This window comes from Homo sapiens, chromosome 11 (genome assembly GCF_000001405.40).
Source record: "Homo sapiens chromosome 11, GRCh38.p14 Primary Assembly".
Classification (NCBI taxonomy): Eukaryota; Metazoa; Chordata; class Mammalia; order Primates; family Hominidae; genus Homo; species Homo sapiens.
This window is the reverse complement of record NC_000011.10, coordinates 125,175,404-125,190,564: the sequence shown is the minus strand read 5'-3', so window position 1 is coordinate 125,190,564 and position 15,161 is coordinate 125,175,404. Positions and strand designations below refer to the sequence as shown.

The 15,161-nt window shown below is 45.8% G+C and overlaps 1 protein-coding gene across 28 annotated transcripts in view, besides 2 other annotated features; it reads right to left on the bottom strand.

Annotated features, from left to right (window-relative positions):
* Positions 1 to 15,161, bottom strand: part of PKNOX2 (PBX/knotted 1 homeobox 2) — a 268,639-nt gene that overhangs the window by 242,825 nt on the left and 10,653 nt on the right. The window lies entirely within an intron of this gene.
* Positions 9,988 to 10,734: an enhancer, noted in NCBI's record as "H3K4me1 hESC enhancer chr11:125049727-125050473 (GRCh37/hg19 assembly coordinates)". NCBI's record gives its function as "activates a minimal SCP1, AML or CMV promoter by ChIP-STARR-seq in naive H9 embryonic stem cells {active_cell/tissue: H9 hESC(naive)}" and the evidence as "EXISTENCE:reporter gene assay evidence [ECO:0000049][PMID:30033119]".
* Positions 10,735 to 11,482: an enhancer, noted in NCBI's record as "H3K4me1 hESC enhancer chr11:125048979-125049726 (GRCh37/hg19 assembly coordinates)". NCBI's record gives its function as "activates a minimal SCP1, AML or CMV promoter by ChIP-STARR-seq in primed H9 embryonic stem cells {active_cell/tissue: H9 hESC(primed)}" and the evidence as "EXISTENCE:reporter gene assay evidence [ECO:0000049][PMID:30033119]".

Genomic DNA, 15,161 nt, shown 5'->3' with positions numbered 1-15,161 from the left:
GCTCTAAAGGGTTTTAAGTGCCAGACTAAGATGTTTGATTTGTATCCCATAAATAAGGAACCAAGAGGGTGAGCAGCGGAGTACCGTATTTTGAGAGAATTAATCAGGCCATGATCGCAGAACGAATAGGAAGTAAGTGGCACAAGTATGGACATCAGAGAAAAGGCACTTTCAGTGAGCCAGCAAGAGGTGACAGCATCTCAGCTAGGCTAGTGGCACTGGGAAGGCGGTGACATGCTGGGCACGGATAGGAGGACAGCCTCAGCCTCTGATAGGTGATAGTTTGGTTCACCATTTAATTTATTGCCCAAATTGAGACACTTTTGAGAATGAAAAGAGAAGGCCAGGCGCAGTGGCTCATGCTTGTAATCCCAGCAGTTTGGGAAACCAAGGCGGGCCAATCACAAGGTCAAGAGATCGAGACCATCCTGGCCAACACGGTGAAACCCCATCTCTACTAAAAATAAAAAAATTAGCTGGGCATGGTGGCATGCACCTGTAGTCCCAGCTGCTTGGGAGGCTGATGCAGGAGAATCGCTTGAACCCAGGAGGCGGAGGTTGCAGCAAGCCAAGGTCGCACCACTGCACTCCAGCCTGGCGACGGAGCAAGACTCTGTCTCAAAAAAAAAAGAGAGAATGAAAAGAGAGCTATTAACAGTTATACTAGGACAACAGATTTAAACCAGAACCATCCAGGGAAAGCAGGGATGTATAGTTATTATATAGACCAGGGAAGGAAGGAGAGGGAGGGGAAAGAGGGACTGCAAGATCTCAAGCCTAGAAGACCGAAAAAATTTTGGAGTTGACAGGGACAGGTGGGAGGATGGTGGAAGAAAGTGGCATAGAGTGCAGAGAAAGAAGGATGAAAGTAGTTTGCTTCTGAAAGGAGTTTGCTCCAGTTGCATGGCCAAGCAGATGTTTATTTCATTAAAGAGAAGACCTGCATCTTATCTAAATTATTACACAGATATTTGTTAAATTGAATTGAGACAACAAAGACCTTCTGAGTTTAATCTAAAGACGACTGATTGTTAAGGTGATGGGGCAGGGCTACCCCTCTCTCCTTGCTTTTGTATATATATATATATATATATATATATATATATATATATATATACACACACACACACACACACACACACACACACACATATATATATACACACATATATATATACACACATATATATATATACATATATATATATAATTAGAATTTCAATAGAAGTATCTCTTGGTGGGCTTGTTCCTATCCCCTGGGCCATCTGCAGCCCAGAAAGTCTCATCATGAACCGATAACTCCAATGTGGGCTGAAAACATAAATGTGGCACCAAATGGCCAGACTGGCAGAGGAAACTCAGTGAACCCTGCTCCAAGCTGGATGGAAGAAGCAGGGAACTTAATTCACCTATACCCCTCTTCCTGACCATGGCGCAGCAGATGAGAACAAAAGAAAGAGGAAAGTCAACCCCAAAATACGAAGAGAGCAAAAACGCAGCCTTCTCTTGCCCTAAGTTGATTGGGACTTTTGTGCTTAGGTGTCTTCCATCAGACCATCAGCAGCAACTCCTGCGGTGTCCTGTCCACACTGGGAATTAGCACCAGCACGGGACTCAGAAAACCTCAGGACTTTTCTGCAGGGTGCCACGTCCTTTCACGGGGACTATGTTCCCGGCTCATGCTCACACTTTAAAAGAAAAAAAAAAGGCGGCGCATGAGGAGGAATGTACAGGCCACTAGCTGGGTCTCATATCACTGTCCAGAATAGGATCTTACACACCTCCAGCGACCCAGAAATTTGAGCAGAAACTAACCATTGGCTATGAATTATCCAAGTACCTGTGGCTGCAGTCACTTGATAAAGCTAATCTCCCTGAGAGTGTTGATTACCACCGAGTTAACAGCACGGGGGTTTGCAATAGGACAAAAGTTGCTGGGCCAGAAGCTCTCCTTGAGCTGCAAACAATTTGCTCCCAATCCTCAGAAAGAGTTACCTCTTGGAACCTTCTGATAGAATCAACTCTACTTGTCTCTCAGACTCATCTGTTAACACCAACATCACAAAAGAAAGAAGATGCTATAGTTTGCAGTGGCTCACAACCTTTTTACCATGGCACACTCGTGAAGGTTGCAGCAAGCTCTTGTCAGTCACAGTGAATCCTTGCAGCAATGAATTTCTAATGGGGTGAAAGACTCCAGAAGACATGATCTATCAGAACAGGCTGAGAGATGCAGTACCTTTGAGAAAGCCTTCCCCAGTCCTCCAACCCACCCCCAGGGAGGTTCTGATTCACTCCACAAAGGAGTGTAGTCCTTTCTCCCCTTGAGAATGACTGGATAGAAAACAAGTCCACTCACAAATCAGAAAACTTACCACATACACCTAACTTCCTATGAACACTTACCAGCTGTATGAATCACCTCACTCTCTTAGCATTCATTTCCTCCCCTCTAAAATGGGGGTGTTAATAATAAAAAGCTTGTCTCCAAGGGCTGTTTTAGAATCAAATGAGGTAATAAAAGTGCCTGCAACATAGTAGGAGCTTAACAAATGTTTGGGTTTCAGTTCAGCTGACATTTTAACAGTGTGATTAGTGCTCCCATGAAATTGGTATTTTCTGATTAGTGGGTATTTGCTCTGAGCAAGACTCCAAATATGATTCTCCATCAGGAGAAACCCATTTGTTGGGTAATAAATCAGATGGGTGCCCCCATTCCCACCTGGCCCAGGCCGCTAGGAGTGACCCATTATCAAAAGGGTGGTAGACAGCTAACATCACACTCAGTGGTGAGACAGAAAGCTTTCCTCCTAAGATCAGGAATAAGACAGGATGCCTCTTTCACCTGCTATTCAATATTGGCTGGAAGTTCTAGCCAGAGTAATTAGGAAAAAAAAAAAGAAATAAAAGGCATCCAAATTGAAAAGGAAAAAGTAAAACTGTTTCTACTCATAGATGACATGACCCTGTATATAGAAAATCCAAAAGAATCCACAAGAAAGTTACTAGAACTAATAAGCATTCAGCAAAGTATACAGTTTGTGTTTCTATATACCAGCAATGAACAAGCTGAAGAGAAAATTAAAAATACAATTCTGTTTAAAATAGTATATTTTTTAAAATCTAGAAATAAATTTAACCAAGGAGATGAAAGACTTGTATACTGAAAACTACAAAACATTGCTGAAATTAGATTTAAAGAAATGAAAAGATATACCATGTTCATGGATAGAAAGACTTAATATTGCTTAGATGTCAATACATCTAACAAACAATCTGCAGATTCAAAGAAATCCCTATCAGAATTCCACAGTCTCTTGAAAAAAAACGGAAAAGTTAATCTCAACTTCAAATGGAATTGCAAGGGGCCCTGAATAGCCAAAATAATCTTGAAAAAGAGGAACAAAGTTGGAAATCTCACACTTCCCAACTTTAAATTTTACTGTAAATCTACAGTAATCAAAACAACATGATACTGGTATGGGGATGGACATTTAGACTGGTGGAATTGAGTAAAGAGTCCAGAAATAAAGCCAAACAGCTATGGCCACGTTGATCTTCGGCAAGGGTGGCAAGTCCGTTCAATGGGGAAAGAACAATCTCTTCAATAAATGGTGCTGAGAAAACTGATTTCCATACGCAAAAGAATAAAGTTGGAGCCCTACCTCACACCCCATGCAAAAATAACTCAAAATGGATCAACAACCTAAATATAAGAGTTAAAGCTATGATACTCTTAGAAGAAAATAAAAGTGATAAATCTTCATGACCTTGGATTTGACAGTGATTCTTAGTTATGTCATCAAAAGCATAAGCAACAAAAGAAAAATATATAAATTAGACTTCATCAAAATTGAAAACTTTTGTGCATCAAAGGACAATTATCTATTTATTTTTGTTTGTTTGTTTTTTTGAGACCAGGTCTCTTTCTGCCACTCAGGCTGGAGTTCAGTGGTGCAATCACAGCTCATTGTAGCCATAAACTCCTGGGCTCAATCTATCCTCCCATCTCAACCTCCTGAGTAGCTGGGACTACAGGCACATGCCACTGTGCCCAGCTAATTTTTTATTTTTTGGTAGAGACAGAGTCTCACCATGTTGCCCAGACTGGTCTCAAACTCCTGGGCTCAAGTGATCTGCCTACCTCAGCCTCTCAAAGTTCTGGGATTACAGACATGAGCCACTGTGCCTGTCCCAAAGGACATTACCATGAAGTAAAAAAGAAACCTCCAGAATGGGAGAAAATACTTGCATATTTTCCCTGATAAGGGTTTAATATCCAGAATATATAACGAAGTCCTACAATTCAACAACAAAAACATAAACAACCCAATTTAAAAATGGGCATAGAATTCGACTAGCTGTTTCTCCAAAAAAGATATACAAATGTCCAATAATGAAAAGACATTCAACATCACTTGACATCAGGAAAATGAAAATCAAACCATAACGAGATACCACTTCACATTCTATCTTCACAATGAGATACTATAATGGCTACAATTAAAAAAAAAACAGAGAATAACAAATGTTGGTCAGCATGTGAAAAAAATTGAGATTCTTGTGCATTGCTGGTGGGAATGTAAAATAGTGCAGCTGTTGTGGAAAACAGTTTGGTGGTTCCTCAAAAAGTTAAACATAGAATTACCTAGAATATGACCCAGCAATTCCTCTACTAGGTATATGTCCAAAAGAACTGAAAACAGGGACTCAAATGATACTTGCATATCAATGTAAGTATTGATATGCAATACTTGCAGCATTACTCACAATAGCCAGAAAGTGGAAACAACCCACATGTCTATAAACAGGTGAATGGATGAACAAAATGTGGTATCTACATTCAATGAAATATTATTCATCTATAAAGAGGAATGAAATTCTGATACATGTTAATGGCACAGATGAATCTTAAAAACATTATGCTAAGTGAAACAACCATACACAAAAGGACAAATAAATTATGATTCTGCTTATATGAAGCATATATAATATAGTCAAATTCATAGAGATAGAAAGTGGATGAGAGGTTACCAGGGCAGAATGCAGAGTTATTGCTTAATAGGTACAGAGTTTCTGTCTGAAGTGAAAAAATGTTTTGGAAATATATATGGTGAAGTTTGCACAACTGTGTGAATGTAATGCCACTGAATTGCACACTTGAAAATGGTTAAAATGGCAAATTTTATGTTATGCATGTTTTACCACCAAGAAAAGGACAATAGAAAATATAGAGTGTAATTGTGTAATTTCTTATGTAAAATGAATTGAACTCAGAGAGCCCAACCAAACAAATGAAACCAGACTTCTTTCAAGCTCAAACTCAGTAACTGTAAATGTACACAGGTTTTGCAACAGCCTCGACTTGGGCTGAGGCATGGAGCCACTGGGCACAGAGCTGCAGGGCTGAGGACAAGGAAGAAATGCCAGGAGGCAATGGTCAGGGATGCTGCTTGCTTTCTGCAGAGGTGCTGGAATCAGGTACCTGCAAACAGGGTGGGACTCAATGCTTGTTTATTGAGCATCTATTATGTGCCAGGTACCATACACAAAATGGTAAACAGTGAGTAACCTGCCTGGGGCACTTGTCCTTGGCCTGTCCTCTGAGGGTTGAGCAGAAGTCCCTTGAGCCCTGGACGTTGCCTACCCATCATGATGTCTTTCTTCGTGGTTTGTTTCTGGTTTCAAGCATAAAGACCGTGTAGGTGGAAAAGTATTCTACAGATGCGGGATGGTGTTGCTGTCATTCCTATTACCACTAAGGATTTACTAGGTCTTCTTGGGAGACAGATGCCAGCCTAGCCAGCCTCCGACACAAGGCCAGGAAAGCAATCAGAGGCTCCTGGGTGTGAGAAGAGGTTCTGAGGAGAGGGCAGGGAATGGCAGTCAGCACAGGCAGGTTCCAGAGGCTCCAGCCTCTACCCAGCAAGGAGCCCAGCACTGCAGGCTATGCTCCCCTAGAGCATGCTGCTTTCTTCTTTCCACACTGGTGGGCTCAATGCCCCACCACACAGTAGGGTCTTTGCTCATTATCTTCCTTACACACACTCTTGTTTATGGCTCCCCTCTCTCTATCTATTCAATCCCACCCAACCTTCAAAGCCTGGCTCATGGGAGACAGGGTTTCTAATGGAAAAAGTTTGGATGCAGATGGGTCCAGATTCCAAATCTCAACTTACCAGCTGTGTGGCTTGGGCCTTTGCCATATGTGAAAATGGGGATAGTCATCCCCACATTCCAAGCCTGCTGAAGGGGAATGAGTGTCAAGGGTCTGCCACACCATCCACCTCTTCCAGAAGTCTCCCCTATCCTTGCAGTCCACTCAGTCTGTCCTTCCTCTGAGAGCATCACTCTTGTTAGTGTCGCTCATTTGGCAATGAGTCTTCTCTGTCCTGTAACATCTCTTGTGATGACCCGCCCTCAGGTATTGTGATGTAACTCCTTCAATATCATTAAACTTTCCATGGTTTCCATGCTTCTCTCCCCACTCAAACTGTCTGCTCCTTCATGTAGAGACCAAATCTTGTCATCTTTTATCTCCCTCCATGGTGGCTAGAACACAGTGGGTGCTAAATAAATTGAAAATGTATTTGAGGCAAATGGAGGGTCCACAGGCAACAGAAGAAACCCCCACAGGAAACATATCACATTTGCTCAGAGTAATAGCCCATTCATGTTCTCCACTCTGGGTGTAACCGTTCCCTGACCACACTGGCACTGAATGAACACTCCATTCATTGAGCACATGAAATCTGCTGATGCCCTCAGCTCAGTAAGGTCAACTGTAGTGGCTAATCCAGAAAAATATTCTCTCTGAAAAAAATCATCTCTTTTTGTGAATTTTAGAATGTCTTTAGAAATGGTGTTTATCTTCTTAGTTTAGTGTGACCATTTAAAAGAGTCAATGCAAAAAAAAAAAGTTAATAAAAAAAGAGTCAGTGTCTTATGAGCATAGTTTACCCTCCATTAGAGAGAGGTGGCTCAGAGAGTGTGCTACAGTGGCAGAGGGTAGCTGGCCAGGGATTTAATATGTGTCACCAACGATCCACAAAGCAGGCAAGCTACTGTCAGAAAAAGGATTCATCCTTTGGGAGGCCGAGGCGGGTGGATCATGAGGTCAGGAGATCGAGACCATCCTGGCTAACAAGGTGAAACCCCGTCTCTACTAAAAATACAAAAAATTAGCCGGGCGCGGTGGCGGGCGCCTGTAGTCCCAGCTACTCGGGAGGCTGAGGCAGGAGAATGGCGTGAACCCGGGAAGCGGAGCTTGCAGTGAGCCGAGATTGCACCACTGCAGTCCGCAGTCCGACCTGGGCGACAGAGTGAGACTCCGTCTCAAAAAAAAAAAAAAAAAAAAAAAAAAAAAGGATTCATCGCATGCTACAGCCACCATGTGCCTTGTCCCTTGGAGCTTAAAGGACTTCCCCAGCCTATTGAACCAGGATGTCCCCTGGGCTAGGAGCTGGGAAAGCCTGGGTGCTGATCAGCAGTGGAGCTTCGAATGAGTTACCACCTCCCTGGGCGTCAAGGTCCTCATTTCAGAGAAGGCCAAATTAAACCAGAGGCTCTCCACGGTCCCTCTTGCAAGTTTCATTGATTCCAAACAGTAATGAGCCTTCCTATTTTCCAGAAAGTCAAATAAGCCAGGGAAAGGGGAAAAAGACACACTTAAAGCCCCAGGATTCTGGCCCTCAGCCCAGCCTTGAAGGCAGGGACAGGAGCAGTTCTCCAATCTATACCTCTGTCTCCACAAAAAATCCAAGGGTCCTTCCCCAGGCCCTTCTCTGTAGCTGCTGGCAGGCCAGGACAGTGCTATGAAATGGGCCAGGAGCCATGAATTTGGAGGAGCTGGGGAGGCCAGTTTCACAACCCAGCTTTCCTAAGAGAAAGAGGCTATTTCTTCCCATCCAAACCCAACACTGGGAATAAATGTAATGGCTCAGATGGCTGAGCCTGTTGTATGTAACATCTGTAATATGCCAGGTACTTTATTTGCCTTGGACCATTGAAGTCCCAAAACAGCACCATGACATAGTTATTACAGTCCCCACATTTACAAATGAGGACACTGAGGCTCAAGTTAAGACATTTGGCCAAAGTTAAGGTGATAGTACACAGCCAATGGGAGATTTGAACCCTGGTCTGTCAAAAGCCAAAGCCCTTTACCTTTCAGCTAGATCTTCCATAGACATCTATCTGCCTATCTCTGGGGGATTCAGCCACGTAGAAGGAGCAATGGGACAGCCTTTAGTGGGTGCATGAGCCTTCAGTTCCATGACATTCTCTCCCTCTCTCCTGACTCACAGGGCAACCAACTGCCTGCCCAGGTTAGCTGGGACTGGGGGGACCACAGAAACAGACTTTCAGTGTGAAAGTCGTTACAATCCTGGGCAAACTGGGGTGGTTAGACAACCTCCAACTGAGACTTCTTTGTGCTTTATGGCTCCAAAAGAAAGCAAATGTATTTTTAGAATGCAAACATAATTGAGGGACATTATCAGTAACTCCGCTGAGGAGAGCAGCTTTAGGCCTGTCCCCTAAGTGCAGCCCCAAAGAGCCAGGTCACACAATCAACAAAACCTCTGTGTCCCAGCTCTAAGCTAAGACTGAGGGTAGCCAGTCTGGGTTGAACTGGGAATTTCGGGAGGTGGACAGAGAAAGGAAGTCATCTGTAACTGAAGCCAAATGGGCCAGATTCCTTAAAAACACTGAGCCATGAAATGCTGATTGCACCCCCATAGCATGGGGTTACTGGCCCATTTTACAGATAGAGCAGCCATCTTGGCATCTTGGAGACCATTTAGAGGATCTTCTCCGAATCTCCCAAACATTTAAGAAGGCTAGATCCTGAGGGGCTCACCAAGAGATTCCTCTCCCAAACTAGGCAAAGCCCCCATGACACAAGCACATGGGGAACTATTTCTATGGGAGACAGAGGCCAGGCCAGTGCCAAGTCCTCCTCCCAGCCCTCACTGGGCAGCTGGTAAACGACGTTGTTCAGGTCTGTTGCTCTCAAATGCGTGTATTAAGGGAGGAGACTCCTCCCTACCACAAGTCCCTCATTGGACACTCCTAACCACTGTTCCCTTCTACCTAAGGATGGAAAACCAAGAGGGCAAAGCCTCTCTCCTGCTATCCAAACATTCTGCTTCCTTCAGGCAGCACTTCCTCCAGGAAGCCATCCCAGACTACTCCAGCCTGCAGTGTAACCTCCTCCCTTGACCTCACTCTACTGTCTCGTAATGCATCTCACATTCTTGTCTTGTGCTATTATTTCACTTAATGTATAAGAGGATGAGTGCTGGTGAGAGAACACCTGGGTTTAAATCCTGGCTTCTCCTCTTACTAGCCGTGTGGCTTTGAACAAGTTGCTAAACCTCTCTGTGCCTCAGGTTACTTAAATGTGAAAGAGGTATGGCAACATCCCCATAGAGTCATAGTGAGAACTGAATAAGTTAATAGGCATAAAGTTTTCAGAACAGTGCCTGGTATGTGGTAAGCACCAGTTAATGTTTGCTAGCATTATTTTAATGTTAATATCGATGTCAGTAAGCATTGTCTCCCTAGCTAAACTAGAAGTTCCTGAAGTGCAGGACTAGAATCTGATACTTCTTGCATTCTCCACCTTAGGCAGACTCTACCAAGTCAGAGCTAAATAATCATTTCCTGTGGATTGACCTTGACAGAAAACATTCATTTTACCTCGTGGGAGAGAAGTATGTCTGCCTGTCAGTTGCCAATAGCTGCCTTTACCAACATCCCGCAAGGTGGCCCAAGGAGCAGCAGCAGAGATCTTGGAGTGAAATTACAGCCCCTCAGGCCATGTGGCCCCAGGAGCAGAACACCAGGAAGCTGGAGACCACAGAGCAAACCCCCTTTTTCCCCAGGAGCTGTGTCATGCAAAAAAAGCCAAAGCTTCGTGAAGAGTCCTGGAGTAAATCCCAGAGGCTTTGGTTCTCATTCTGGCTCCGAGCTCTGTGACCTTTCACAAGCCCCTGAAGTACCTCCCTGGGCCTCTGTTTACTCAGTTGTTAAATGAGAGAGTTGCTCAAAGACCAATGACTTAGTTCCTTCCAATTCTGACATTCCATGAGTCAATTTCAGAGTAAGGGAAAAAGCATCTTTGAATGAACCTGACACATCATTTCACCAACAAACAGCTCTCCCCATTCATTCACTCATTCATTCATTCCACAAACATTGCCTGGGCTTTTACTACAGCCAAGTACTATTCCGGATTAGAGCAGAGGGGGAAGAAAAGAGACAGAAATCCAACAATCGCTCTAAAGAAAAATAAAGACGGAAAGGGAGAGCCAGGGAGGGGACAAAAGGGATTTCATTTTAGATGGGAAATGAGGAAAGCCTCATTGAGATGATGATATTGGAGGGGAAATCTGAAAAAGCAAGCAAGCTAGCAAGCCACGCAGATATCCAGGGAACGATGTTCCGGGCAGAAGGACCAGTACACGCGGGGGCCCTCAGGCAGGAGCGTGCATGGCTGTTTCAGTTACAACAGGGGTGTCTAGAAGGCCCGTGTGCGTGTAGTGAGCAGGACAGTGACAGGACATGAATTGGGGAGGAGGAGATTCAGCCATGGGGAGGACTTTGGCCTTTATTCAATTACAAATCCAGATCATCTAAGCTTTAACGTCAATGAATTTGATGCCATTCACATATATGCTGAGGGCAAAATACCTAATGCATTTGTTCATTTTTACCTCCACCCCCACCATCATGGATCTGCAATCTATTTATAATTTTTATTGTCATTATGCTCATTTTGGGGCAGAAAAACTGAGGCTTAGAAACATCTGTCTCTCTGTCCAGGACTATAGCCAAATGTTGGCCTGGTCTCCATTTCAGAATCTCAGACTCAGTTTACCCACCTCTCCCCACAGGTGCAGCCCTGCTTCAGAGTCAGACTCCAGGGGTTCTCTCGCAAGCTCCTCTGAGGCACAGCTCAGTGACTCGCGCCTGACCCGCCACTCTGCCCCAGCACCCCAGCTGCCTGTCAGCTCTTGCAGGCACAGCCCTTCCTCCCTGCCGGGGGGCCTTCAACTCTATGCTCCCCCTGCCTGGGACGCGATTTTTCTCCCGTCTTTTCTCAGTTTTGCCGTGTCTCCCTTCAGGCTCACCTCAAACATCACTCCCCAGGGAGGCCCTGCCCTGCTCTCTCTGGATAAAATCTTCCTGTTGAAGAATGCTCCCACAGTGTTAGGCTCTTCTCCTCAAAGCTCGTATGTCATTCATATTCTCACATTTATTCGTGTGATTTTTAAAAGTAACGTCTCTGTTCGCCATCTAACTGTGAACCCTAACAGGATAGAAGCCACCTGAGTTTGCTCACCTATATATCCCTGGCACCAAGATAATGCTGGGCACATGCTCAGGATACCTAATAAATACTTGAGGAATAAGTGAATGAAAGAATGAATAAATCCTCAGGCCTTCTGTTCATTGAGCCCAGGGGACACACGGTGGGACAAACACAGGGTTCACTGGTTGGTTCTACGGGTGTGGCCAGAGCCATGAAACACACGGGAGAGGGCAAGGCTTGAAGGGGAAGGACCTGCGCCATCCGAGCCCGACACCACACCGTGCACTTTACACGGGCTATCTCCTTTCATTGTCCCGGCTGCCACCTGAGTTGAGAATTACTGTACCAACTTACAGATAAGAGAACTGAGGCTCAGGAGGTACGTTTTCCTGGGTCATATCACAAGTGTTTCTGTAGTTAAGCCCAGTCTTTGATTCTAAGGTCTATGCTCTTTCTGCTCTGACCCAACTGCCCTGCCCTGGGCAGTTTCTTCCTCTCTCTTTCTTCCTTTCTCTCTTCCTTCCTTTCTCTTTCTTTCTTTCTTTCTTTCTCTCTCTCTCTCTCTCTCTCTTTCTTTCCTTCCTTCCTTCCTTCCTTCCTTCTTTCTTTCTTTCTTTCTTTCTTTCTTTCTTTCTTTCCTTCCTTCCTTCCTTCCTTCCTTCCTTCCTTCCTTCCTTCCTTCGTTCCTTCCTTCCTTCTCTCTCTCTCCCTTTCTTTCTTTCTTCTTTTTTTTTTTTGAGACAGAGTTTCGCTCTGCTGCCCAGGCTGGAGTGTAATGGCACAATCTCGGCTCACCGCAACCTCCGCCTCCCGGGTTCAAGCGATTCTCCTGCCTCAGCCTCCCAAGTAGCTGGGATTACAGGCATGTGCCACAATGCCTGGCTAATTTTGTATTTTTAGTAGAGACGGGATTTCTCCTTGTTGGTCAGGCTGGTCTCGATCTCCCAACCTGAGATGATCTGCCTACCTCGGCTTCCCAAAGTGCTGGGATTAGAGGCATAAGCCACCACGTGCCCTGGGCAGTTTCTAACCCTCTGCCACTGATTTCCTGTGTGGCCTTAGGTAAGTTACTGTCCTTCTCTGAGCTTCAGTTTCCCCATATATAAAATACAGTGGTTGGGATGGATGGATGGAGGGATGGTTTCACGTGTCCTTTCTAGTTCTGAGATGTTCTGACTTGAAGATTCTATGCTTCTAAATTTATAAAATCAAAAAATGAGCATTAAAATACCTCGCTCAATGTCAAAACACAGTAGACAATTCATAAATGTTCATTTCCTCCCTCTCTCCCTCCCTTCCTTCCTACTCCCTATTACAAAGATTCTCTGCTTCACAGCCCTCCTTGATGCCACCTATGCTGTCTGGTTCTTCCAAGACACCCAGAGCACTGCTTCCCCTGCTTCTGCGAAGCCTCCCCAGGCTCTGACATTGCTGTCCCAGCCAGCTCAGGATCCTTAGTCAGCCATTCTAGCTGTGCTCCCCAGAGAGGCCCACAGCCCACAGCCTTCCCTGCTTGCACTCCTTCATGCCTCCTGCCTCTGAAGGGGTATCTGGGTCCCATGCAGCACTGTGGGGAGAGAGACGGAAGTGACGGGAAAGGAACTCATGAATATGAGAACCCTCTGAGGCCAGGACTGGAGCAGGATCTTTGCTGTTACCTCACTGAATCCCCTGCACAGGGACATTGCTACTCTCATTTCACAAAAGGGAAGAAACTAAGGCTCAGACAGGTTAAGAAGTTGCCCAGGATCACATAGCCAGCAAGCAGCAGAAGCTGGGCTTTAACCCCTGCCTGCCTGACCCCAAAGCAGGTACATTTTGCTAACTCTGAGGATGCCCAAACCCTAGGCAGGAGGCCACTGGCTTTCCTTTTCACATCCGTGTAATCGTGGATTTATAGCCCTTGTCACTTAAGCCCATCAGTCTCTCTCTAACCTCCCCCGCTGCCTCTCCTCGCTGCCCCCCTCCAAATTACAAGACTGCAAAATATTCACAAATTTTCCTCAGTGTTTCCAAAGGGAAGATACAGCCCTGGTCACTGCACCAAGTCCTCAAAAGACATTGTCAAGTTGACTCCCTCCCATGTAGGGGAAGAGGCCAGATCTGCCAAAGACTTTTTGTAATAAATATAGTCCCCCTGTGGCTGGTGCTGAGCAAAATGGGCTGAGTCATTTCTACCCCCGTCACAGCTGCTGCCCACGAGGGCTTTCCAGAAATCAGACTCAGGTAAGACGTGAACATGAACATCGCAAGGTTATCACCAGGACCCTAACTGGGGCTGTAGGAAGAATGCGGAAGGGATGCCTGCATTTTCTAAAGCTCCCCTGAAAACCTGTCCTCAAGGAGCATAGGATGGCAGAGGAGGGGGACAGGGGATGTGGGAATTGCATCCTGCTCTGTGATGCAGCTGACTGGGAAGCTCGGATGAGAGCACAATCCCTGGCAGCATTCTCCTGGTGCCCAGCTGTCTTCCTCTCACCTTGTTCAGTCCTTGCCTGGGATGGAAAAGAAGATGCTGGGGAAGAAGGGGTTGGTCAACTCTCTCCCCAGAAAGGGCCCCACAGGAGGGACAAAACTCAGCATGAGGTCAGGCCAGGCCAGCCCAAGGTGACTAGAGTTCATGCGCCTACTCTTACCTAGTTCACGGCAAGTCTCCCTTCATGCCTTAGCTTAAAGCTCACTTCCTCCAGGATGTCCTCCAAGATCCTCCCAGACCCCCACAGTAGGTCATGCTCCCTGTTGAGGCCCTCACGGCTTCCTGGACTTCTGGGTGGCTCTTGTGGTTTAACTAATTACCCACGGAACTTGAACGTCTTCCTCTCCCATGATCTGTGAGCCCTCCCGGCAGGAACCCATCTGTCTAGTTCACGGTCATATCCCTAGCGCCTCCGCAGGGTCTGACACAGAGAAGACACTCAGTAAAAATCTATCTAGTGAATGTGACTGGCAAGGAGGGAGTCAAGGCCTGCTTCAAGCCAACAGGACCTGGCAGAGGCCAACCCCCTCCTCACCCCAGGCCCCTGACAGCCTCCCACACTGGATTAGGTGGGAAAACCTACTTGAGAACAACCACGAGCACTTTGGAGGCCCCAATTCCGGTTGGTTGACTCTAAGCTTGAATTGGCAAAACCACCGGGCGCTCAGGAATCCCAGGGGAACTCACGCCTGCCCCAGCCACAAGGAAGTCATGGAAAGCCACCCTGCCAGCTTTGAATCACCCAAACATGGCTGTCATCACGCTGTGAGTGAGTATGAGAAGGCGTGTGAATTTGTGTGTATACTCTATTTTAAACTAATAAGAAATATATAGTCTGTGCCAACCAATTTTCTCCCCCACGTATTACATGCAAGTCACGGTGTAGGCGCTGTCATTTATGTTTATACAACATGTATAACACATCCACATACATCACCTCACTTAATCTTCCCATCTTCCCCACAGCCCCGACAGTAGGTGTTATTGCCACCAGTTGACTGATGGGGAAAGTGAGGCCAGCTCTGACGGTCCCACAGTGAGCACAGGGCTCTACCAAGGCCCACACCCATACCTGTTGCTTGTTCTACACTGGCCTGCCTCACTCATAGCTGGGTGACCTTGGGCAAATTCTCTTACCTTCTCTGAGCCTCACTTTTCTTCTTGGGTCTACAGCTATGACTCAACAAAATAGTGGTGACAGCCCCCAGCACAGGGCTCAGCACAGAGCCTACCACATAGCAAAGGAGCCTCCACTCGTCTGTGGCCTTCACGCTGGAGGTCCTGCACAGCTACCTAGAAATCACAGAGCTCAGGGAACATCCTTCTTCTGCCTTTACCTGCAAGCTAGCTGTGGCAGCCTGTCTCCCC